This window comes from Homo sapiens, chromosome 6 (assembly GCF_000001405.40).
Source record: "Homo sapiens chromosome 6, GRCh38.p14 Primary Assembly".
NCBI classification, from domain to species: Eukaryota; Metazoa; Chordata; class Mammalia; order Primates; family Hominidae; genus Homo; species Homo sapiens.
This window is the reverse complement of record NC_000006.12, coordinates 11,684,763-11,711,557: the sequence shown is the minus strand read 5'-3', so window position 1 is coordinate 11,711,557 and position 26,795 is coordinate 11,684,763. Positions and strand designations below refer to the sequence as shown.

General features: G+C 41.6%; 1 long non-coding RNA gene and 1 other non-coding gene across 2 annotated transcripts; both read right to left on the bottom strand.

Annotated features, from left to right (window-relative positions):
- Nucleotides 1,159-21,301, bottom strand: LOC340184 (uncharacterized). The gene is made up of 3 exons (XR_001743973.2): nt 21,220-21,301; nt 11,295-11,375; nt 1,159-1,475 (listed from the first exon to the last, which is right to left on the bottom strand). It is a non-coding gene; the product is annotated as an uncharacterized LOC340184 (long non-coding RNA).
- Nucleotides 1,598-1,739, bottom strand: LOC124900221 (small nucleolar RNA SNORA67). The gene has a single exon (XR_007059947.1). It is a non-coding gene; the product is annotated as a small nucleolar RNA SNORA67 (small nucleolar RNA).
- Nucleotides 21,302-26,795: the final 5,494 nt, after the last annotated feature.

The window sequence follows — 26,795 nt, the reverse complement described above, 5'->3', positions numbered from 1 at the left end:
CGTTGCTGAATGAGGCCCGCGCCCACTCATACACGCAGGGCCGCTATCTGTGAGTCCTTTCACAGGGTTTGACTGTACACGGTCTAAAATGGGAGAAAATGACATGCTCCGAGTCAAATGACGGAGTCACAGCTAAACGGCAAAGCAGAAAACCAGCAATTATTTTTCCCCAGCACAATATGGGGAGTACGACAGGTGCAATTATCCAATATTATTTAACAGTACCGGTTTGTGATGTAGGGAGAAAATAAAGGTTTCCGTGTCTTGGAGAGGAAAAAAAGAGAAAGAACATGCCTTGCAGCTCCTGTTTCTATGGATTAAGCTGGGTTATGTACATGGAAACTGGCCAGGATTCCAGAAGGGGAAGGGAGAACCGCCTGGCTCCCTGGCCCTTCCTCCCAGGAGGCTCTTGAGGAGCAGCACCACAGGGGGCTTCTGAGCAAAGGTGCCCCCAGCCTTGGGATACTGTGGCCTGAACACCCTCTTCCCCAGGCAATGGCTCCAGGTAAGACTGCGGGGAAGACTGGGTTTGCTGAGCCCCTGTCCGCTTAGAAACAAACTTCCCTCCTGCTTTTGACTCTCTTTCCCTCCATTGAACTACAATGAGGTCAAAGAGCGTGTGATGAGAAGGTGATCCACAAGGAATAACTTTCAGCCCCTTAACCAGGTCCCCTTTCCCACTTCCAGCACGTTATTATTCCTCCTCCCAAGCCTTTGCTTAAACTGGTCACACTCCCTAGAAAGACCCCTCTTCTTGTAGCTACTGTGGAATAAATAAGTCAACCTTCATGGCTTCCGACCTCACTGGAGTGCCACTTCCCAACTCTCTGAAAAAGCTTTTCCTTGCCCCTCCGGGGCATTTGGCCGGCTGCCTTCTCTCAGTTCTGCTAGTTAACAGCTAATCAGCTTCACACACTATGCCATTGCTCTCTCCTTCACGTATCCTCCTGGCTTCTGTTTCTGGAATGGTATGGAATGCCATGCCGACTAAAGAAAACAGTCAAGCTTTTAAAGAATTAAAGTTAGTTGTATTCAGAAGTCTTACTGAGGACTACAGACCAAGGCCTACAGCCTGGCAACAGCCTGTCAGATCCTATGAGACTGCTCCAGCCCAGGATTTCAGCCCACTGCTTACAGACAGGAAGTGGAGGTTCAGTACCTGCACAATCACATCAAATTTGCTCAGAATTTCCGTCGCAGCAGAATCCCATCAAGGCTTGGGTGTAAGAGCGCATCCGGTTGTAGATTACAGAGGCATAAACACTAACCCTGTTAAAGGTTTTGTCTTCAAAGCATCTTTCCAAACATCTTCACAGTCCAGGGCTTTTGTGAAATTCTGCTGGCAAGCAGAAGTGAGCAAAAGGTGCTTCTCATATTTGCTCCTTTGTCTCACAGCTGGAAAGAAGAGAGGCTTCAGAACCAGACCAGATCTGAGTTCAAATTCTGACTCCCATGGCTGGCTATCTGTATGGAACCTAGAGAAAATCAGTTACTTTTTAGAAAAATGTATTATTCACTTTTTATTTGTTTAAAAATATATAACAACTTCAGCATGTGAATAAGAGGACACAGTCTATCCAGAAGGAGCTTAAGTATGCTATGTAGGCCGCCAGAGGAACGCAAAAGAAGTAAGCATCCCCTGTTCCTTAAAGACCTTAGGCATGCCAGATTTTATTCCAACTTGCTACTGTCCTAAGAGAGGCACTAGTCAGCCCCTTGGAGAGAGACTCACCTTGGATAAAAATAGTTTACTCCTCTGAGCCTTGGTTCCTTGTCTGCAAAGTTAGATAATGATACCACCACAATTAAATAATAAGATTATTTAAAGTGGTGGATGCAAGTGCCTGGCTCCCAAGATCTCCGTCTGATATAGTTTGGGTGTTGTTTCCTCGAAATCTCGTGTTGAATCATGATACCCAGTGTTGGAGGTGGGGCCTGGTGGGAGGTGTTTGGATCATGGGAGTGGATTTCTCATGAATGATTTAATGCCATCTTCTTGGGGCTGGCCTCGCCATAGTGAGTTCTGGCGAGATCTGGTTGTCTAAAAGTGTGTGGCCCCTCCTCCTCCCATCTCTCTTGCTCCTGTTCTCACTATATAACGTGCCTGCTCCCCCTTCACCTTCTGCCGTGATTGTAAGCTTCCTGAGGCCTCCCCAGAAGCCCAGGAGATGCCAGCACCATTCTTCCTGTAAAGCCTGCAGAACTGTGAGCCAATCAAACCTCTTTTCTTTATAAATTACCCAGCTTCAGGTATTTCTTTATAGCAATGCAAGAATGGCCTAATTCACCATCCCACCTGCTTGATTGCAAACTCCCGGGATGAGGGGCCGTGTCTACCTCTTTATATCTCCAACAAAGCCTAACTCTGCACCATTAGAAAGTACTCAAAAATACAGGCGGACTTGAGGATTCCTTATAGCTTCTTAACCTTACAGGCATCATCACCAGTTATCTTCCACCCTAGGCTTCCCTGGAAGCTGATAGTCTCAACATTAGAGTTATTGTTTCATTTCAGATACTCTCTCCATCTTACATACCACAATTCTATTTACAGTGACGAGCAAATTGCAGTTTCATGTGGACTGGTAGTGAATGAACATTGATAGAATAGGACGCATAGCAGATACATTTGATGAAAAGGAGAAGGAGATGAGGAGTGGCCTGGAGGATAAATGGCTTGCGTGCAGGGAAGCTCTAGAGTGGATGACTAGATGGCCCTAATGACTCAAAGGAGAGCCTATGAGCTACTAGGGTCCCAGTCCGGAAGACTGATCCTTAAACAGGAGGTGGGGGGATGTTGAAGACAAACCTTGTTTACATCATAATTCATTTCACCTTAGGTGACTTCTCACCCCTTCCTGACGGATGGCAAGTGTTTATCATTAAGGCCCAGTCTAGTCTGACTAGCACATCATCGTTACCATGATGTCGTCAGCCTCTTGCATGGTGTAGTTATTTCGGGGCCATGAAAAGGGCCTCTGTTCTCACTGCCACCCTAAATATCTTGCTAATGTACAAAAAAATTCTTTCACCAATAAAGCCGCCCATTTCATATGGAGAGCCAGATTTAACATGTAAATACTTCTGAAAGAAGTGACCTATGAAACTCATGCATGTTCAATTCTCAGTGAAGGATATCTGATGATTTGAAAGCAAGTTTTAATGTGAGGGAGGGCGTGCTTGGCAGAGCGAAAATGAGGATATTGTTAGTAAAGGAACAGGTGCGGAAGGGTCAGCTGCAGACTCCAAGGACAAAACTTGCCTAGTTCATAATTTTTCACCGTGTGAGCTGCCAATAGATGCAGGTTATGATTGTTCTGCACCCCTCCCTGAGAGAGCTACTTGGTGGGTAGAGCACCCCAAAATGAAGTTGGCCCATGATTTTGGCAGCTGGTAGGTCAACTAAATTCTGCGTGCCCTTGGAGGGGTGGACAGAGGGGACAGAGCTGTGATGTGCCACTCTGTTTCCAGCCTTGATTATCTGGCTGGCACTACAGGAATTTAAACTTGCTTTATGTCTTTTATTTATTTATTTTTTGAGCCGGAGTCTCATTCTATCACCCAAGCTGGAGTGCAGTGGTGCAATCTCGGCTCACTGCAACCTCTGCCTCCCAGGTTCAAGCAATTCTCATGCTTCAGCCTCCCAAGAGGATGGAATTACAGGCATGTGCCATCATGCCCAGATAGTTTTTGTATTTTTAGTAGAGACGGGTTTTCACCATGTTGGCCAGGCTGGTCTTGAACTGCTGGCCTCAAGCAATCTGCTTGCCTCAGCCTCCCAAAGTGCTGAGATTACATGCGTGAGCCACCACGTCTGACCTGCTTTGTGTCTTGAGAGAGTAGTGTTGCGTTGCCACCATGCTTTTTTCCCACAATTTAAACGTGTGTTTGTTGGTAGCATAAATTAATCTTTCTTAGACTCTTAGGTTCTACATCCTCCAAATTTCAACATCATGGTTTTTGTTGTTGTTCAAATTACTATGATTGCTCATGAGTTTGTGTGTATGAGTGTGTGTGTGTGTGTGTGTGTGTGTGTTGTATTTCTGAAGTTCCGTGTAGATATTCAATGCCACTTTTTCATTTTCTCGAATTTATGTTGGAGAGTTGGTGCTACTCTCATCAGGGTCCTACGATGATTCTGGAAACAAAGACTGGATAACATGAATGGCTCCATGTAGAAGCTTTGGGTATTGATATTTCTCAAATTTCCCTCAAAATGCATGAGTATGACAGCTTTTCCTACCTATGAGTTGTTGCCATGCTTAAGAAGAAAGAAGACAGAGCAAAGAAAAAATTAGGATTCCTGGGCTCCTGAAGAACCTCAAGCAGTATTGAGATTCTCCAAGATCTCTTTTTATCCAGACATCTGTCTTACCAACCAGTCACAGAGATACTGAAGTGCTGAAGAGAGGTGGACACTTATTAAGGGCATATTTTGTGTTTCTTTGAGGACAGGAGTATGTCCTACTCACCACTGTATCTCCCTCATTGAGCACAGTGCGTACCATATGGTTGACTTTAAATGCATATGTGATGCTCAGATGGATTTAAGTAACACGCTCAGTGTCTGACAGTGGCATTGGAATTCAAATCAAGATCTATCTGACCCAAATGCCTCAAATAGTTTCCACTCCACCAACAGTGCTCAATCTTTCTTAAGTGATACCCTCAGAAATACATTTTACATCATAATCCAGTAGAAACACACACACTCATAACACACACACTTGTGTGAAAAGTTTCATAAACTCATACTTGCTTTTAATATGGGTGACATACCCCTTTATTTTCTAGGATATTGTTTCCTATTCCATTAAAATATGTCGTGACCATGAAATTGATGTCTTAATCCAATAATAGTGTTATTAAAAAATAATGAATTTCTTAATCCAATAAGAAATTAATGGATAGGGTTCAACTTAGTTCAGTAAGTTGGACAACACTGCACTCCACCACACTGTAGGGTTCGTTCATTCATTATACAGTGCCTACTAAATGTATGTCCCTGGCCATATGCATGCCATGGCCTGAGTGTAAGGACATGGTGGTCATCCACCTGGCATTTGCAGGCCTGTATGGAGGATTGCATGCTTTCATCTTGCCGCTCCTTTGGGACGCCAAGCCTGGCTTTCCCAGCTTCCTCTGTTAGCAGCTGCTCTGCTAGACTCAGCTCCTCTGAGATGCTAACAGGAAGAAGAAAAAGATCCCTTCCACCGTAAGAGCTTACAAAACCTTCCGCTGAGGCTTAAGTCTGGCCTGAGCAAATATATTTGGTTACACTTTAGGGATTTGTTTTCACTCAACACTAAATTTTATTAAGATTCTAATAATGAAGTTAGATGACATAGAGTTAGGAAAACATGTACTGTATGACTTTTACAATACCTTGCCAGGAATCTGGTACGTGATTCTGAAGACTCCCATCTAGACATGTTTTATTCCTTATTAAAATTTTTCTAGCTACATTCTAAAATGCACTTATGTTGTCATTTTATATATATACATTAACTGAACTTTGCCAATTTTTTTTTTTTTTTTTTGAGATGGAGTTTCACTCTTCTTGCCCAGGCTGGAGTGCAATGGCACAATCTCGGCTTACTGCAACCTCCGCCTCCTGGGTTCAAGTGATTCTCCTGCCTCAGCCTCCCGAGTCGCTGGGATTACAGGCGTGTGCCACCATGCCCAGCTAATTTTGTATTTTTAGTACAGATGGGGTTTCACCATGTTGGTCAGGCTGGTTTCGAGCTCCTGACCTCAGATGAATCCACCCACCCTGGCCTCCCAAAGTGCTGGGGTTACAGGCGTGAGGCACTGCACCCGGCAACTTTGCCAATTTTTAAAATCATGTGGTTAAATAAAATTCTCTTTCTTGCAAAATAGATTGCAGTATCACTGCCAGTATTTCTCCTTTTCCAGACTCATCCTGCCATCATGACCTTTTATTGCCGTCACATATCACCAAACTAAGAGGAAGAGGCCAAAAGAACTGCTGGACACCAATTCAGAGTTTTCCCACTCAGCAATGTGGATTTCCATGTAATCCTCAAATCAAGGGGAAGGAAAGAACCATTCCAAAATGCCCTGCCAATTCACAGAGGAACATATCTAAGTCCACTTGGGAACCATTTTAGACCCCAAGCATGGAAGACACGGATTATTTGCATGACTATATACACAATGACAAAGGGAAACTTACCCATTCATTCTAGGGCTTAACGAAAATGCCGCGGCTGCATGAATCGTGGTTCTGTGGTCGCTTATTGGGAATGGGATTGAAAGTATAACTTTAAGGGGGATCCCCAAGATGACAGCCAAGAAGATGCTAAGCTATTTGTGCATGAGGTGCTTGTGAGATAGAGATCAAAGGATAACCAGCTGCTCTTCCCTGGTTGGTGAGTGGAGGTGCCCGAGAGGGCACTCTTTGGTGTTGACTTATTGCATCTCACCTTGTCCCTTCCTAAACTCAACTCTTGCCATTTCACTGTATCCCTCACACAGTCACACTTGAAAGGCCCTCCAAGCACCAGTGGCCTTTGTTCCTAGCACAGAAATCATCGCCCTAGACTGCTTACCTAGCATCTAAATAATCCCAATTCACATTTAGCTAAAATTTCACTATTACTAAATTTAGTTATATTTGCAATATAAATTTATTTTAGTTACAATAACGTAGAAGTAGTATAGTTACTATTATTATCTGTTTTAGTTTCCTGGAGCTACTATAGCCAAGTATCACAAACCAGGTGGCTTAAAAATGATAGAAATGTGGCCGGGCATGGTGGCTCCTGCCTGTAATCCCAGCACTTTGGGAGGCTAAGGTGGGTGGCTCACGAGGTCAGGAGTTCGAGACCAGCCTGGACAACACAGTGAAACCCCTTGTACCGTCTCTACTAAAACTACAAAAATTAGCTGGGCATGGTGGCGGGCGCCTGTAATCCCAGCTACTCGGGAGGCTGAGGCAGGAGAATCGCTTGAACCTGGGCAGTAGGGATTGAAAATTGCAGTGAGCCAAGATCGTGCCACTAGACTCCAGCCTGGGTGACAGAACTAGACTGTGTCAATAAATAAATAAATAAATAAATAAATAAATAAAATAGAAATGTATCCTCTCACAGTTCTGCTAGCCAGCAGTCTGAAATCAAGGTGTCAGGATTACTATGCTTCCTCTGAAGCCTCTGAGGAAGAATCTTTCATCCTGGTGGCTCCCACTAATCCTTGGTTTGTGGCCACATCACTCCAATATCTGCCTGTTTCCACATGGCATTCTTCCCTGTGTGTCTCTGCACCTCTTACCTTACAGAGAATCTGGAATCTGTATTCAAATCTCCCTGTCCTTTCTCTTATAAGGATGCTAGTCACAGATTTAGAGTCTACTGTAAGTCTAGTATCATTTATTTCAGGATCCTAAACTAATCACATCTGTAAAGACCATATTTCCAAATACGGTCACATTCGGAGGTTTTAGGTGGACGTGCGTATTGGGGGTGAAAGGGGTGAGACCATATTCAACCCAATACATTATTCCTATTTGACAAATGAGGGGATTGAGATGTTAAATTCCAGCTTTTAACACTTCTCACGTGTCTTTCCTGGTTCAAGGAGTCACCCGTAATTTATACCATCTGTTGAGTGCCCACTACAGGACAGGCATTTGCAATTCATTATCTCTAGGCCTCACCATGCTCAGAGAGACAGGCATCATTCTCTCAATATTAAGGAAAAAGAAACTGAAGCTCAGTAAGGTTGACAGATTTTTCCAACAAAGAATTACCCAGTGACAGCACAGAGCTCATTCTGGCTGGCTCTGACACCTACCCCCTTTCCATTAAACCACACAACTTCTACCAAATCCTGCTTCTGTTCCCTTCACAATGTCTGGAACATCAGCCCTTCCTTCTGTCTCCTCAAGGTCAAAACATTAAATATTTTCATTTCAAATCTTCTGAGGCACTGTGGGAAGGATGCAGGCTCAGGGGCATGGGTGTTATGGTGGAAACACCCTCTTTCCTGAGCCCGAGCCTTAACAGGCATGCAAGTGGGTAAATGGACAGAAGGGGACCTCAAAGGGAAAGGGGAAATACAAATTGCTGCTAAGAGTATATGGCAGAGCCATTCAGCCTCGCCTGCAGATTCGGAGTCGCCTGGGGACCTTCTAAAAGTACTTTTGCCCAGATGTCTCCTCCAGAGCTTCTGAATTGGTCTGGGCTGCAGATTGGGCATTGGGAATCTTAAAAGCACTTCCAGGTCATTCCCATGTGCAGCCAAGGTTGAAGGCTGCCTGGATCCCTGACGTATGGGAATTCTTGTCCATTTTCCTTGCCTATGGCAGCAGCTGAGGTCTTCAGGTTGTTTTGAACATCATCTGAGAGAGCCACTGCCTTTGTTCCAAGCTTCCTTGCAAAGCCACTGCCCAGCCATGCAAGTGCTCAGCACATTTTATGGCATGACCAACTGCCTGGTCCCTTTGGGTGCAATAGCAGAGGTGACTTTGGGGTGGAGTGTGGAGCCAGGCTCTGGGAACGGCTCAGATGCCCCTGCAAAGCTTTCTGGTGGAGCTGTCTCCTGTCTCCCTGGGACCTCAGTGCACTTCCTTAGCAAGAGCCCAGACTACTGGAGCCAGGGAGGCACCTTGTGGGAATTGTGCCAACAAATGACCTTTGGACTTGAACTGTGGCCTGGCTCTCTCCTGGGTCTCCAGCCTGCTGGCCTGCCCTGATAATTTGGGACTTGCCAGCCTCCATCATCACGGGAACCAAGCCCTTAAAATAAATCTCTTTCTAGGTACATACACATCCCATTGATCCAGCTTCTCTGGAGATCCCTGACTGCTACACTCTTCCTTGGCTCCCCTGGCCTCACCTCCTTTCTCTGGATCCTCCCACCCTCCACTCTCTGCGTCGTTTGCCTGCAGTGTCTGTGACTCATAGGCCTATAATAATCCTTCCGCTTCTGCTTGCCAAACTCTCCTCTTTTCATTCAAGAGTCTCCCCAAATCCCACATCATCCCATCAAGGAAACAACAGTCTCTCCTCCCTAGGATGAAGCCATTCATGGAGCAGATTTCAGAAAGAAAACTCTGTCTGTATGAGTGTTTCTTTGAAAATTCATGTTGGAGACTATTCCACGCATGACAGTGAGGGGACTTGGTGTTCCACAGGCTCTGTCTCAGAGGCCAGGCTACAGGGCTCCCCGTCTGCTCTGCACAGGTCTGCATTTGGCACATGGTCTCATATGGCTAGTGGTGCCTACCAGATGGTGGTCTGGGGCGTGGCCTCCTGAACAAGCTACTGAAGGCCACTGTCCTGCATGGCTACAGATTTCACAACCAACCCTATGCCACCAGCCTGTTCATATGACATTGCTTAAGGCAAGGAGCAGTCAGGGAAAATCCCTGAGCATGCGTTCTCTCAGCTGTGGGCCACCATGTCTTCCTCCTGTGAAGGATGAAGGGTTGAGGAGGCACTATCCTTCCCTTCCTACCACACATGTAGAGGGGCCCCTGTCGTGTTACTGCAACCACCATTAAGCCACATTCTCAGTGGACATTGCACAGCCATCGGACATGCTGCCTCAAAGCTCCACCTACAAGCTATGGCCCCAGAGACCCCTGAATGCCATAGACAGCTGGTGGTATCCCAGGGACAAAGAAAGCCCAAAGTATATGTTCACATCGCGGGGATACTAAAGCGTCAGAGTGAAAGAACATAAGCTTTACAGATACTCTAAATTCGGTTAGTCCCATTTCCACAGCATTTGCCATCTTGGGTGACTCATTCAACCTTTCAGAGCTAGGTTTCCTCATATATAGAGGAGGAACGCAATACCTGCTTTGTGTTAGTGCTACTGAGAAGAAGGATGATGATGTTGATAATAATAATAGGCTGAGGACATTCTGCCCAGTGTTAGCATCCAATAAATACCCGTTTCTTTCTCTGTTCTCTTAACTAAAAGCCTCTACTAATCCAGTGGAGGCTACTTATGGGTCATAATTTGAACACCTGGGAGAGGTAGTGTGAAATCATAGTATAGAGGAGCTGATGGCAGCACTACGATGCAGACGGCATTCACGGAAGGGGAGTTGATGACAGGACTAGGATGCAGAAGGCGTTCATGCAAGGGGAGCTGATGGCAGCACTAGGATGCAGATGGCGTTCATGGAAGGGGACCTGATGGCAGGACTAGGATGCAGAAGGCGTTCATGGAAGGGAAGCTCCCTTACTGTCCGCATGGCTTCACAGCATCAACAAGAGGGTCCCAAATCACATGTTCCAGCACCCATTCCCCAACTTGAAGTCCCAACACAATAAAAATAAAGGAAGGCAATGAAATATTGTAAATGCCATGGAGTCTAGAAATCCTAGATTTTAGAACCCTCTAAGTCTATGCAAAGCATTAACATTTCAACACATAACCCAATTTCAGGAGGCTTACACAAAGGAAAAGCAGTCCATTGCAGCGCCCTCCTTCTTCCCACTGGTGTATAGGAATGCCTCCTAAGCAGTCGTGGCCTTACAGAGCCCTAGAGACAAATTCATTTTGCTTTTTTGTTTTATTATTGTTATTATTATTATTATTATTATTATTATTATTATTATTATTTGAGATGGACTATTGCTCTGTCACCCTGGCTGGAGTGCAGTGGCGTGATCTCGGCTCACTGCAATCTCTACCTCCTGGGTTCAAGCAATTCTCATGCCTCAGCCTCCCGAGTAGCTGGGATTAAAGGCACTCGCCACCACACCTGGCTAATTTTTGTATTTTTAATAGAAACGGGATTTCGCCATGTTGGCCAGGCTGGTTTCAAACTCCTGACCTCAGGTGATCCACCCTCCTCGGCCTCCCAAATTGTTGGAATTATAGGCGTAAGCCTCAGCGCCTGGCCTCATTTTGCAATTAACAAAATACAAGGAGGCCCTCCTTGATATTTGGAGATAGAGTATTTCAAGCACATTTGATGAATTTCTATCTTCTTATGTTGTGATAAGAAGGCTTGGCAGGATGTTTTTACAATTGTAGTATACATTTCATGGGGAGGAAAGGAAATACCTATATATGTGTGTATTTTATATATACAAAATATAAAATGAAAAAATGCAGTTGAACATATATATATATATATATATATATATATATATATTCTCTTCTGGTTTTCAACTGCATGTTTACATTATCTCATGTTTGGGTCTAGGCCTGTTATTAAATGGGAAGATGAGAGCCCTCTGGTGGCTAAATGGACTCTTCTTTTTTTTAAGAGATAGTAAAACTAATTATCTTGTGTTTTGAAAATTCTATACCTTGTTCCAGTTAGCAATTTGCTGCATAAACTTCATCTTTTCTCCACTTTTCTCCACTGTTCTTCATCTTTTCTCCTCACCCTTGAGTAAAGACATAATGAGATATTACATTTTCAACCTCTTTGATGCTCACACTTTGCATTTAGGCAAATAGTTAATCCACCTTCTGAAAAGATAAAACAGTGTTTTAGAAATTTGATTTTCAGACACTCATCTAACAAATATTTATGGGGCATCTATAACAAGTAAGACACCATTCTAAGTACTGTAAGAGCTATAAGAAAATTTATAATATAACATCTAGTTGCAAGAAGCTTATAGTAGAGTATAAAAAAGAACAGCCTTGACTTTTTAAAAATGTATTTTTTTCTATAAACTTTAATCATTTTATCAAATACATAAGTTTTCTTATCAGAGGTATTCTCCTAGGTTCCCTATCTTCCATCTACTCGGGTGCCTGTAGCAAGAAGTGGATCATCAAGTTGAACTCTTCCTTCTCCCACTGTCCAATCCAATGATTCATCATGTCCTGCCAGCTCTACTTCTCTTTATTTCTATTGATGCCAACTTAGATCAGGGCACCTAAATTTCAGGTCATTACTATATCCTTTTATTTATTTTATTTTATTTTATTTTTATTTTTATTTTTTATTTTTTATTGAGACAGGGTCTCTCTCTATCACCCAGACTGGAATGCAGTGGCACAATCACAGCTCACTGCAGCCTCGACCTCCTGGGCTCAAACAATCCTCTCGCCTCAGCCTCCTCAGTAGCTGGGACTACAGGGATGTGCCACCATAAGAGGCTAATTTTTAAATTTTTTGTAGAGACAGGGTACTCCCTACGTTGCCCAGGCTTATGGTATGCTTTTTAGAAATGTATTTTTAAGTTATTTTTGAGTGGTTGATACATGTACATAGTATAGAATTCAACATATACAATAACAAATGCATAACAGGTAAGTCTCCCTCACACTCCTACACCGTACACACCTGGTTCCCTTCTACAAAACAGCTACAAGTATCAACCCTTTGGATATACTTGTAGAGATATTCGGTTCACATGCAAGCATGTATGTATTTTTCTCACAAATGATGACACGCAGTTCAGTGCCTTGCTTTTACATCTTTCAGTACCTGTTGGAGAAAATCCTAAATCAGTGTAAAGAGGGCTGCTTCATTCTTTTTCAAGAGATGCATAGAATTCTATTATATGTATGTATATTACCATAATTTATTTAATCAATTCTCTATTGATAGAAATTCAGATGGTTTCCAATCTTTTACTATTACAAGTCAATGCTGCAATAAATATCTTCTTGCAGACATCATTTTTGCACGTGTGCCAGAATATACTTAGAATAAATTCCTAGAAGTGAAATTATTGGATCAAAGGATATGTATATTTTTACTTTTGATAGTTATTGCCAAATTATTCTTCATAGAGGTTTTACCAAAGTCTACGCTCGCTGACAAAATATGAGGCTCTGTTTCCCCAAATTCTCAACTATACCGTGAGTTAGAACTTTGTGTTTTATCTTTACCAATCTTATGGGTAGAAATGGTGCCCCAATACAGTTTTAAGTTACATTATTCTTAATTTGAGCGAGGTCAAGCATCTTTTGATGTTTATGATGTATTTTAACATAAAGATACACCTTTGTCCTTATCTTTACTATACATGGATTTAGTTATACGTGTCTCCTTATATCTCTTGTTCATTTTTCTGCTTGGGGTTTGTTTTTTGCTTGTCTTATTGAACTGTAGGAGTTTGTGGCAGGCAGCTTCCAAGATGGCCCCAGATGACTCCATCTCCTGATATCCACACCCTGACACACTCCCCCTCCCACATCGTACCACAGTTGCTCTGTGTGACCAATAAAATATGGCAGAAGAGATGGTATGCCATTCCCAAGATTAGCGCATAAAAGATAATCAGCTTCTGTCTTGGTGGCTCTCTCAATCTCACTTGCTCTGGGGGACACCAGTAGCCAGGTCTTGAGCAGCCCTGGATAAAGAAGACCACGTGGTGAGAAGCAGAGGCTCTTTTGAGAGTTTCATGAATGACCTTAGCCAGGGTCCTTCAGCCTCGGGTAAGCCTTAGAAAGACCCAGCCCTGACTGATGTCTCCACTGCAACATCCTGAGAGACCCTGAGCTGGAATCACTCAGTTAATATGCTCCCAGATTCCTGACCCACAGGAATTTTGAGATTATAAGTATTTGTTGCCCTAGGATATTAAGTTTTAAGGCAATATTTAAGACTTGATAAAATAGTGTAAGTTGATAATATAGAGTTGATAATGATATAGTTTGATAATAATATAGAGTTTTTGATATATTAAGAAAGCTAAGTCAAGTGCAATGATGAGTGCCTGTAGTCCTATCTACTTGGGAGGCTGAGGCAGGAGGATCACTTGAGCCCAGGAGGTCAAGTGCAGCCTGGGCAACAGAGTGAGACTTCATCTCTAAGAATGAATGAATTAAATAAATAAAATGGTAAACTTTTTAAAAAGAAAGAAAATCGGTCTCTTTCTCCTGAGCTTGAGTTTCTTGATTAGAATTTTAAATGCTTTTTCTTGCTTGTTGAATGTCTATTAGTCCTCTTTGTGATTTATTTTCTTTCTTTTTTTTCTTTATTTTCTTTTTTGCCATGCAGATTTTTTTAAAAAAATTTACATACTGAAACTTATCAACTTGGGGGATTACTTTTATACTTAGAAATGATGAAAGACCATACAAATTCCAAATTTTATTTTCTTCCATTTCTAATAATAAAGAGCTAGGCCACTTTGGTCAACTCTCCTGCTAAAATCAACTAAAAATAATGAATACAATAATTTTCTAGTATCCTTTAAAGCATCAAGAAACTGACAAGACAATAATGAATTACCAGACCAAGATCTAAGAGATTCCAGGAACCCAGAAGAGAAACTGTATTAGTCCGTTTTCACATGGTTGATAAAGACATACCCGAGACTGGGAAGAAAAAAAGGTTTAATAGACTCTGAGTCCCACGTGGCTGGGGATGCCTCAAAATCACGGTATAAGGTGAAAGATATGCCTCACATGGCAGCAGACAAGAGAAGAGAGCTTATGCAGGGAAACTCCCCCTTATATAATCATCAGATCTCGTGAGACTTATTCACTATCACGCAAACAGCACAGGAAAGACCTGCCCCCATGATTCAATTACCTCCCACAACAGGTGGGAATTCAAGATGAGATTTGGGTGGGGACACAGCCAAACCATATCATATGAGATTTCAGGGGGGACACAGCCAAACAAAGCCTTTTGTCCTAAGAACATACAGAGAACTGTGCTCCAGTTTTGAAGACCTCACAAAATAAGGGGGACAGAAGTCAAAAGCCTAGAGCCCACCCAAATTGGAATGTTAATATCAGACTCCCCACTTACATTAACCTAGAATCCCAAAGGTAAAACCTTCAGGAAGTAAAAATTACCCATTCCTCCTGTTTAAAAAAAGTCCTAAGATAGCAGTGTCTTAGTGCTAAATAAAGGAGAAAAACAAAAACAACACATAACCTGTCCGTGAGTAGCCTGTCTAGAGATTAGCTTCTGAGAATTGTTAGCCTAAATTTGAAACCCAAGGGTGGACCAGAAAACTTCAAGCCATAACTTTAATATAAATTGGTCACAGAGAGGCAGTGCTCCTAAATGTCTCATAGAAACAAAGGCAAAACTATTTGGAGAAGGATACCTTCACCCAAGTCACAGGAATTACCAGAAATCATGTCTTCTAGACAATGAGCAGTGCCTAGTTCATGGTAACCAAGCCACACGAAAGTAAGTTATGATGAGAAAGAAACAGCAGCAATAATAGATGACATAAACAGACCCTGAAAGACTTCAGGTATAGGAACAATTAGATGCAAGCTACAAAATAGCTATGTTTAAAGAAGTAAAGATAGAAAATATTTGCAGCAAACAGGAAATTGTAAAAAAAAAAAAAAAAAAGTGACCTAGCAGGTATGAAAAATAACCAAGTAAAATTTCTAGAAATACAAATACAAATACAGGCCAGGAGCAGTGGCTCATGCCTGTAATCCCAACACTTCAGGAGGCCAAGGTGGGTGAATCGCCTGAAGTCAGGACTTTTGAGACCAGCCTGACCAACATGGCGAAACCCCATCTCTACTAAAAATACAAAAATTAGGCAAGCATGGTGGTGCATGCTTATAATCCTAGCTACTTGGGAGGGTAAAGCAGGAGATTTGCTTGAACCCTGGAGGCAGAGATGAGCCAAAATTGTGCTGTTGTACTCCAGCCTGGGCAACAAGCATGAAACTCTGTCTCAATAAATAAATAAATGAATAAAATAAATACAAATATAGAAATAAAAAACCTAATAGATGAGTTTGAGAGAAGAAAGGCCAAAACTAGAGAGAACTAAAATATTAAAAGAAATTATTTTAAGTGTAGCACAGAGAGACAAAAGATGGAAAACATGAGGGAATAGCTAAGAGAAATGAAAGACTGAAGGAGGTCTACCATGCAGAATCCAAAAGAGTTATATTTTTAAAAACTGATTACTAGAAATAATTAGTGAATTTATCACTGTCTGTCTGAAGATGCAAGGTTCATATACAAAAATCAATTGTGTTGCTTCATATTAATAGCAAAGATTTGGAAAATAAAATGTCCAAAAATACAATTTACAATAGTGTAAAAACAAAAAATACTTAGAAATTTTTAAATTAAGATAGGATTTACATACAGTGAAATACATAGATCTCATGTGCTCAGTCTGATGAGTTTTGACAAATGCATACACCTGTGTATCCTATGCCATGTCCCTTTCTCCTTGTCAAGATATAAAACACTTTCATCACTCCAGAAAGCTCCCATGCCACCTCCTGGTAAATCCCTGTTTCACCTCCAAGTCCAGGCAACTTCTGTTCTGATTCCTTTCAGCATAGATTAATGTCATTATAGAATTTCATATAAGTTGTATAGGATGCACATAGTCTGGCTTCTTTACGTTGGTATAGGCATGATGTTTTAAAGACTCATTCATATCTTTGCATCCATGTTTCATCATTTGTATTGCTTTAGTATGTATGGATACATCACAATCTGTTAATCCATTTTCTTCTTTTTAGACATTTGGGTCAATTTCAGTTTGATTCATTATTAATAAAGGTTTTATGAATATTCCTATACAAGGCCTTTACTGGATATATGTTTTCTCTTCTCTTGAGGAAATACCTAGAAGTGAAGCACCTGCACTGAAATGCACTCACCAGTGTGTTGGTATTATCCATATAAATGGCTGCTCCATTGGAGTGAAAGCTCTTTGAAAACAGGGACCGGGTTTGGTTTATTGGCTTATCTTCAATGTCTTGCACAATAAAGGACACAGAGGAGGCATTAACTATGCATTTCTTGAATCAATATATTGAGGAGAAAATATAATATTCTTTAAGAAAAAGATGTAAGTAAACAATACATCTTCCATCCAGTTTGTCCTTGGTTACACTAGGATACTGTTTCAAGGATATGAGCACCTTATTAAAAAGTCCTTTTGATGGTTTTGTAAAATAAGTCCCATGGAAAATTTCCAAGAAAATCTGAAACTCTCAAAATAATAATATTAAAATGGCTAATATTTATTGAACCCCAACACCACCAAACAATTTAAGACAATCATTGCATTCATTCTTTGTACTCTTGAGTAGTCAATACAAGGAAAACAAGGCTTAAATAAGTTAAATAACTTGCTTAATGTCACACAGCTGAAAGTTGGTATACTTTCAATGGATATAAAGAAAGAATTTTGACTTACTGTTTTAATATGTGCTACTTTTGAAGGCAATTTTCAGTCCAAGTTTTTCCACACAAAGAATGAAAATAATAATAGCAACACCAACATACTATAAGGATCAAATGCAATTATTTATTTAAATTCCTTCTGTAAACAGAAAAGCACAATGCCAGGTAAGTTCTCATGATGATTGTTAATATCATCATCATTATCATTCGACCACTTATGAACGGTGTGGCCTTATGTAGGTAACTGTTAACTGGTAAAATGATGATGGTAATACTGTCTCGTTGTGAAGGTGAGCCCAGCACAGTAGTTGACACTGAATAAATGCTCAATACAGAGCTGCCACTGCTATTGACCTTGGTCTGTTACATGGTTCTTGTTCATATTTCCCTCCGGGACAAGTTGTTACTCCCTGGTAGGTAGGAGAGCTCCTAACTAGGCTTCATCATCCCCCCTCTCTCGGTCACACCAAAACTTTGGCCAAAGCAACCAATTAGAATGCCCATTAAAGATGTCTTGATCACATTGGGTTCCAGCAGTAAGTCAAAGAAATTCCAAATATCAGTGTCCCTTGTTCTCTCATATAACTTTAAGCCTTTTAGTTTAAATGTTGCAGCTCTGATTTTCCAGTAATGTGAATAAAGTGAACAATGTGTATAAATCGGTGATCAATTTTTCTAAACATCCAGTGACTCACTCATAGCCATATTCATTTGTATATGAACCAGGAGATACAATTTAAGCTTTGTTTAGCTCTGCTTTATTATCTTTTGAGCCTTGAAATTCTGAAATTATACTATCCTTCACTGGAGGCACCATGTCTACAGGGAATTTAACAGTTACAAGGTCTCACTCAATCACAGCCCATGTTCATAAATGCAGACTGAAGGGACACAGGCACAGATTTTCTGGCCTCGTATCAGCCAAAAGGAGCTGACTGCCAGGTGGATTCTGCTGCATCAAGTGGTACACCATCCTTATTTCCAGCCAAGCCTGTGCCTCTGAAATAAAAGTCTCAAATGCCTTTTCACACTGATATAAAGAACTGCTTGAGACTGGGTAATTTATAAAGAAAAGTGGTTTAATTGACTCACAGTTCCACAGGCTTAACAGGAAGCATGGGTAGGAGGCTTCAGGAAATGTATGATCATGGTGGAAGGCAAAGGGGAAGAAAGCACATCTTACATTGCAGCAGGAGAGACATAGAGAAGGGGGAAGTGCCAGACACTTATCAAACAACTAGATCTCATGAGACCTCTATCAAGGGAACAACAGGAGGGAAGTCAGCCCCCATGACTCAATCACCTCCCACAAGGCCACTTCCCCAACACATGTGGATTACATTCAACATGAGATTTGGGTGGGGACAAAGAGCCAAACCATATCAGACCACATAGATGACATAGGACTCCAAGACTACCAAGTCCCCTGGCCACACTCTGCCCTCTGTGTTGAAGGATATACCATTAGAGTTAAATCAACTTAGGGAACATCAGAGCAACAGTTTCCTCCATGGCATAGGCAGGCCAGGGATAGCTCCCAGGGGAGTCCTCTCCAGTGTGGCTCTGATACCCATGAGGTCAGTTGGCCTTGCTCTGCCTCTCCTTGCAGCAGCAGCTTTTACTACCAATGCACTCTGCACCTCCCACCACCACGTGACAGCTGACTTTCTGGTGCATTCATCGTTTCTGTTCCAAGTGCTACAAGTAAACTGCTAGCCGAAGTTGCTGTATTTATTAACTTTTGCAGCTTTCTCTACTGAGGTTGTGTTGACAGCATTTTTCTGTATTTGGGAACTTAAATGAAGTCCTCATATCGTTGTCCTGGGGAAGCTATTCAGCAAAGCACCACATGCCATTCTAATACCTCTTTTTCCTACTTCTTTCCCTGTGCTTCAGAAAATGCATGTTCTCTGACTGAACCTCAGCCTTCTGCTTCACTGGAGCTCTCCTCCCAGGGATCAGAGGCAAAAAACTTATTTCCCCTTGCTGGAGACTAGATGCAAATGTAGTGACTGGAGAAAGTCATCGTTATAGTCTTTTGCCTTGCAGAGCCACAGTGGCCATACGTAAATTTACCCAATGGTCCTGGGTTTAGACAATCAAAACAAATAGCTCTGCCAGCAGGTACTCTCAAAGTTTTTAGAGCCTCAAAACCTCAACATGCAAATCTCAGAGCATAGCTGCAATGATTGAGTGTAGTTACTTGCCAAAGCTTCGCCCCTTCTTTCCCCCACTACCTGCAAGGCTCCTGAGATGGCTCTGATGAACACAGTGGTTTTTGTTTTGTCTGGCTTTTAACTGTGCTTTGCAATTAAGTTTCAAAGATGAAACTTTTCATTGTGCTTATTCACTGTTCTGCACCTTTCATAATAGGAATTTGTAAGAGGTCTGGAAAGATACATAGAGACCTCTGTTCTGGTTCCTGGTGAGTGAAGATGTGAATCTGAACCCATCAGAATACATACTCCTGAGACTCCAGTTCATTCTGAAGAATGGTCAAGGAGACCTCTTCCCTGGAGACACTCATAGTAGCAGACATTTGTTTTCTCAATGGTTTAAGACAGAAACAGATGTTGCTTTGTTTGACCTTTAAGTTCAGCTGAAAGCAATATGTTAAACCTAAACAAGCCCTTCAGGAAACAGTCTCTACTTTGAGTCCTTAAATGTTCTCACTTTTCTGATCTGTCAATAAGCCTTTCATTTTTACATAGATTCACGTTATGTTCATGTATTTATTGGAATAAAGGTACACTTATTTATGGGAATATCAGCATGCAGGATGACACCAAGAATTATAACAGCTCAGAGAGGGTCTAAGGTCATACATATGAGCCTAAAGGAAAACGAGAGCAGAGAAACAACTAAAATAGTGCATTACATTTATAGTATAGTATTTGTCACAGTTTACAAGGCACTCTTACATATATGGTCCATAATAATCCAAGTTCTTGGAGTCAAACAAGAGAAGCCAAGTCTGATTAATTGCAGCAGAAATAAATGTATTGGGAAAATGATGAATAGTCCACAGAACTTATGTGAGCCCTAGAGCACAGAGAACACTCAGGAACTAAGGGAACCTGGCCCTGTGCGGCACAAAGTCATGCCATGGTCACATCTGGCCTGAAAGCTATCCCAACCTCCAGCACCACTAGCATCTGCCACTGCTGCCACTGTGACTGGTCTCTGGGTCTGGATGTTCCTCCTTCCAGATTCATAGTTCTAGGTGGGCACATCTTATTGGAGAAATCTGTCCTCTAGGTGCTGCAAGGTGAGAAGAAAGAATATATACTTTCTTTACCCCTCACTTCTTGGAGTACAGTACTGGATAATTATATTAGTTTTCTATTTGTTTATTTTTAGGCCATTGTGCATATTTTAAGTTGTATTTATTTATTTATTTATTTATTTATCTGAGATGGGGTCTTGCTATGTCTCCCTGGCTGGCCTCCAACTCCTGGGCTCAACTGATACACCTGCTTCAGCTTCCTAAGTAGCTGAGACTAGAGGCACACACCACTGCACCCAGTGTATTAGTTTTATATTGCTGCATAATAAATTACCACAAACTTAGCAGCTTACAACACAAATTTATTATCTCACAATTCCCATGAGACAGAATTCCAGCACAGCCTCAGCAGGGCTATATTCTCATCTGGAGGCTTGACTGGGGAAGAGTCTGTTTCCAAGCTCTATAAAGTGGTAGTAGAGTTTATTCATGCTCAGCTTCATGTCTGAGGTTCCCACTTTCTTGCCAGCTCTCAGCTGGAGACTACTCTCAGCTCCACACTCAGACCCGTCCCTCATTCACAGGTGCACCCCTCGGTAGGTAATTCACAAGAAGGCTGTTTCCTTCCTCAGAGATACAGGAGTATCTCTCTGGTTTCATGTCTTTTGTCAAATAAAGTCCAGTTCCTTTCTAAGTGTTCCCTTCATTAGGTCAGGCCCACCTGGGATTTTCTCCCTCTTGCTTAACTCTTAGTCAGCTGATTGATTACCTGCCAAATCACAGGAGTGATATTCCATCATATTCACTTAAGGTCTCACCCAAATTCAAAGGGAAAAGATTACATAGGGCATATACCAGGGGTTGGGAATCTCAGGGCCCATCTTTGAATTTTGCCCACCACACTTACCAAAAAATAACAAGCACCTCCCACTTTATCTCATCAGAGTAGCAGATCCAGTATAAATTTTCCAGTTTTACAGAGGAAAAAATAAGCCTCTGAGAAGTTGGGTGATTTGGTTGTAGCCATACAGTTAAGTAACTGAGTGGGAACTTGAAATTAAGATTTTTGACAGTGCTCTTTTCAAAGGTAAATATATAAACATTTGTTAAAGTAAATGACCTGACAATTCATGGTATAGGTTCTGACGGAAAACAAGAAAGGAAGAGTAAAGATAGGAAATGATGACTAATGAGCCTATGCCGGCTACTGAAGGCTGTTTTTGAGTTCTGGAACTCAATATCAACAAAGCACAGGAGCTGTGTGATGTCAGAGAGAACTACCTGAATCTACAACACAATTGCTGTTTATATTTATTTGTTTTTTTAACTTCTAAGTTCAGGGGTACATGTACAGGTTTGTTACGTAGATAAACACACATTATGGGGGTTTGTTGTACACATTTTCATTACCCAGGTATTAAGCCTAGTACCCATTAGTTATTTTTCCTGATCTTTTCCCTTCTCTCAGCCTCCACCCTCCAATAGGCCTCAGTGTCTGCTGTTCCCCTCTTTGTGTCCATGTGTTATCATTTAGCTCCCACTTATAAGTGAAAACATGTGGTATTTGATCTTCTGTTCCTGAGTTAGTTTGCTGAGGATAATGGCTTCCAGCTCCTTCCATGTCCCTGCAAAGGACATGAGCTTGTTCTTTTTTTACGGCTGCATAGTATTCCATGGTGTATATGTACCTCATTTTCTTCCCAGTCTATCAGTGATGAGCATTTAGGCTGATTCCATGTCTTTGCTGTTGTGAATAGTGCTGCAGTGAACATACTTGTGCATGTGTCCTTAGAATAGAATGATTTCTATTTCTTTGGGTATCTACCCAGTAATGGGATTGCTGGGTCCAATGGTATTTCTGTTTTTCAGGTCTTTGAGGAATCACCACACTGTCTTCCACAATGGTTGAAGCAATTTATACTCTCGCCAGCAGTGTATAAGCGTTCTCTTTTCTCCGCAACCTCGCCAGCATCTATTATTTTTTGACTTTTTAATAATGACCATTCTGATTGGTGTGAGATGGTATCTCATTGTGGTTTTTGATTTGCTTTTGTCTAATGATCAGGGATGTTGAGCTTTTTTTCATATGATTGTTGGCTGTCTGTATGTCTTGTTTTGAAGAGACTGCTCTTTTTAAAAGAAGCAACCCAGAGAAAGTTTTAAAGGTGAATATACAAAGTAGCAAAGGTCTCCAAAAGAGACCAAGCAGGAACTTAGCGATCAGCGCCCAGGTCCTGCAGTTTTCTCTTGTTACCTCTACCCCTGTCTGTGTATCCTTTGCTTCCTGTTCTTCTCTTCGTAGTTCAGAGACCATTCTGTCTCCCGAGGAACCTTTCCTTAGACAGGGTTATCAAAGAGAACTTAAGCATATGTCAAGCTAACCTCATTACTTCCTTTATCATTATCCTGAAAAGTTCTCATAGAAGCTTTTGAAAGGCAGAATATAGAAAGATAAAAGGAGGGACGTTATCAAGGATATAGTTTGATATTCAACAAATAACAAATTTTTTATCTAAGAATGTATGCGTTAAAGCTTAATAGATCTTTGAACCCATGTCTGTACATAAAAAAGTAGAAAGAGCAGTTTTTTAAAAAATGTCATATTCAAATATAGCTGAATGTATTTACATATTACACTATGCATACATATTGTATTTACCCTCTTCTATTCATGTGTACATCACATGTAAGAAGCAGCAATAAAGTTACTGGCAAACCTTTGTTTTCCAATCCTGGCCCAGCTTTCCTCCAGCTGTGTTACTTCAGAGACATAATTCAGCCTATCGTGCCTCAGCTTTCTCATGTTTAAAAATAAGAAGTTAGAAAATGTGATTTCTAAAGCCCTTCCAGCTTTAAAATTCAGTCATTCTTTGATATGCGAGATAATGGACAATTGTGAATATTAAGGCAACACAATCCTCCTCTCTCATCCTCAAGTGGGAGGGGGTTAGTTCATATTAATCACAGGCAACCATGGACTTGGTTGCATTTTGAGTCGCATTCAACTAAGAACATTGGCCCTTTCGACTGTTTTGGGATATTTGCCTGCTGTAGAACTACTTACCACAGCCATGTATCTAGCTACCTACAGACGTACGCACATACACACACACACACACACACACACACACACACACACACACAGAGAGAGAGAGAGAGAAAGAGAAGAAACAAAGACAGCAGAGTAACCAGGTTAACAAGAGTAGCCGAGTTAGCAGAGGATTGTAGGAGGAGAGAATAGAAGAAATACGACACCCTCACAGCTTTCACAAATTGGCACGATCCATATGCATTGCTGCTAATTACAATAATCATCTCCTTCTACAGCGAGAGCACTACTTGACCCTGTACCCACGTTTTATTTATTTATTTTCTAAAGCATTTCTCTTCTCCTTTATCTTCTCCCTTAGGCTATTAATTAACTGCAGTGAAGGATAACAGAGGCCCCCATCACAGGGTCCATTTGGCCTGTCCCTGATCCCTACTATCTTGAAACACTCCTCACACTTTGAAAACCAACAGCGCATTCCAGCATGACCCAGAAGATAGCCAGGTCTCTTCCTTTCTCTCAACCCCTCGCTTTCAATTTTTGTTGCAGAAGAATTATGAGCACGTTTGAAGCTAACCATATTATTTCCTTTATCATCATCCTGAAAAGTTCCCAAAGAAGCATTGGAAAGGCAAAATTCTATTCTAAGCTACACCCTCCTCTGTGGGCTTAGCTAGATGCAAATAGATTTAAGTGAGGCAGAACTATGACTGCCAAGCAAGGAGATGGATTCCATACACGATGTGGGAAAATTAATCTCACCTTATATAATCAGTGCCTAAAGCAAGGGACTCACACTTCCTTCCCTCTCCCCAAATCCCTGGGAGATTGTGAAAATGGATCAAGGAGCCGCGATGAAGTGTTTATATATTTTTAAATGTATGTTCCTCTCTCTTTCTTTTTCTTTCTTTCATCTCTTTCTCTCTTTAACACAGACCTCTGTTGATAAATAATGGACTGTGGCAAAAGAAAATTGACTAAGACTCTAGCCAACTTCAAATAAATTGGCTACTGGCACAGCTGAAAACATAACTTAGCTTAAATGAGGTTTCTTTCCCATTCTACAGAATCCCCCAGCAGCAAACACCATAAACCTAGAAGGTGCATCCTGACTTGTATTCTATAAATCCGTGAGCTAATAAATAATGCTCACAGTGTAAATGAGTGACTCCACAGAGACTACGTTAAAAAGAAACATTTCATAGGGAAACCAATAATATTTTCTTTTCAAGGGAAAATATATGTCCTCTCCTATATCCTTAATTACAGCCCAGACTCTAACCATGTCTTACAAGTGTACTAAATGAAAAAGTGGCTAAAACTTCATCCTAGTGCACTTTATTAGTGAGCCAGTTATTAAGCTATTCTCTCGGTATCAAACTCAAACTCATGCTTCTATACTTGGCTTTGTGATTCTGGGGCTGACTTTGCAAATCCCATTTCTGCTTTACCAGCTCCCTCCAAGTGTGTCTTTCCTTTTCTTTCCTTTTTTCTTTTTTTTTTGAGACAGAGTCTCACTGCACCCAGGCTGGAGTGCAGTGGTGCAATCTTGGCTCACTGCAACCTCTGCCTCCCAGGTCCAAGCGAATCTCCTGTACTCCCACCTCAGCCTCCTGAGTCGCTGGGATTACAGGCACCCACCAACAACCCTGGCTAATTTTTGTATTTTTAGTAGAGATGGTATTTTTGGTAGAGATGGAGTTTCACCATGTTGGCCAGGCTGGTCTCAAACTCCTGACCTCAAGTGATCCGCCCACCTCAGCCTCCCAAAGTGCTGGGATTACAGGCATGAGCCACTGTGCCTGGCCCCAGGTGTGCCTCCTCTAATAGTGGTGGGTGGAGGAAGACCAGATGGCTGGAGAAGAAGAAGGCACTCACTCTTCTTGTTTGCGTACCGTTGCTGTCATCATCGCCCAGCCTCACTCCTTTACTTTGGCAGGGATGGTTAGGGAAGTAGCAGAAGATTCCAGTTGTAGTTTTCCAATATTCATACCCCCTCAGAAACACTAGCAGGTGGCTATCCTTTCCTTGGGGGTCTAGAACCCAAATCAGTAGGACCAAACATCAACAATGGAATTGTGGGTTTGCTTTGGCTGGGTCCCTCATCTTGAATGCAGTGCTGAACTTCCTGCTAATGGCAAATGGAATTCCAGTAACCAGTGGCATGCAGTGACATCACAGTTTATAAAACTATTACCTGTGGTTGCTTTTCAAGTGCTTACTAAAGCAAGAGCCTTGGAAGAACCAAATGTCCTCTGCATTTGACTACTGCAGCAGCTACGATGACTACACGGGTGATAGTATGGAATGGCTCCCTCTGAATGCCCTAAAGCACTTGCATAAGGAAAAAAGAAAGAAAGAAAAAAAAAAGCCTGCTTCTTTAAGTTCTGAGCTTGAGTCATAGATAATTAAGAAGCTTCCAGGCCAGTCCTGAAAGAATATCATTTCTTTCTCTTGTTTGCTGAAAATAAGACACAAAAGTTAATTGCACAGATTTCAGAGTTGAAAGTTGAATTTGAATTTATAGACTCTCAAGTTTCTCAAGTGAAGGTTGGGTATCAACTAGAAAAGATAATGACCCTTAGACTCGAAAGAATGACATCAGGATGGATTCATAGCAAGCTCAGAATTCTGAACCCCTGAGTCATCTGACCTCCTTTGCCAGCAGAAGATGCCTATCCTCACATACCTGGAGAGACCAGCCTTCTGCTTCTTGAATAAACTTTAATAATGGGGCAGTTGCCTTGCCATGAAATACGTCTTCTCATCAACCCATTCTGACCATTCCTTTTCTCACTATACCCATAATAAGGGCCCGATCTCAGCATGTTCCCTAAGGGCAAGTACAAAGTCTGACCCAGGAGGAAATAACTTACATGCTAAAACAGTTGTAAGATTATGCTAATTTTAGTGGTAGAATCCTGAAAAAAATATGTGTGGGAGTTTATTCCAAGGGTATTAGACCAAGGAGAATGAAATATAACAAGTGGACTGGATTTTATTGAACTTATTGATGTGAGTGCACTTACCAGAAACCCCGGATTTAATATTTTATCTCGTGAAGCTAGATGTGGCTCTAGCAGTTTGCCTGGTTGATAGATTGACTCAACCATGGCTTATGTTTAATGAGATTGACATGCCTGAACTTCCTTGGCAAAATGTGAAGGAATCTGGAGTCTTAGGAATACAACAATGTTGAAGCACATTTATAATGTGTTCCCTGAACACCCTGCCTCTACTCTCCACATCCCAAGGTGGCCCAAAGATGCTTCCTTCACAATTGAGAAATTCACTGGTGAAGAGAGCATCAGCATTCTTGCATGTTAGCTATATGGTGGCTGTCATCTGTAGGCCTCAAATGACGGTGAGGATTCCACATTGATATTTTGGTGGGAATATGAGATCCCAGAGTGACATAGGTCATTTGGTAGTTT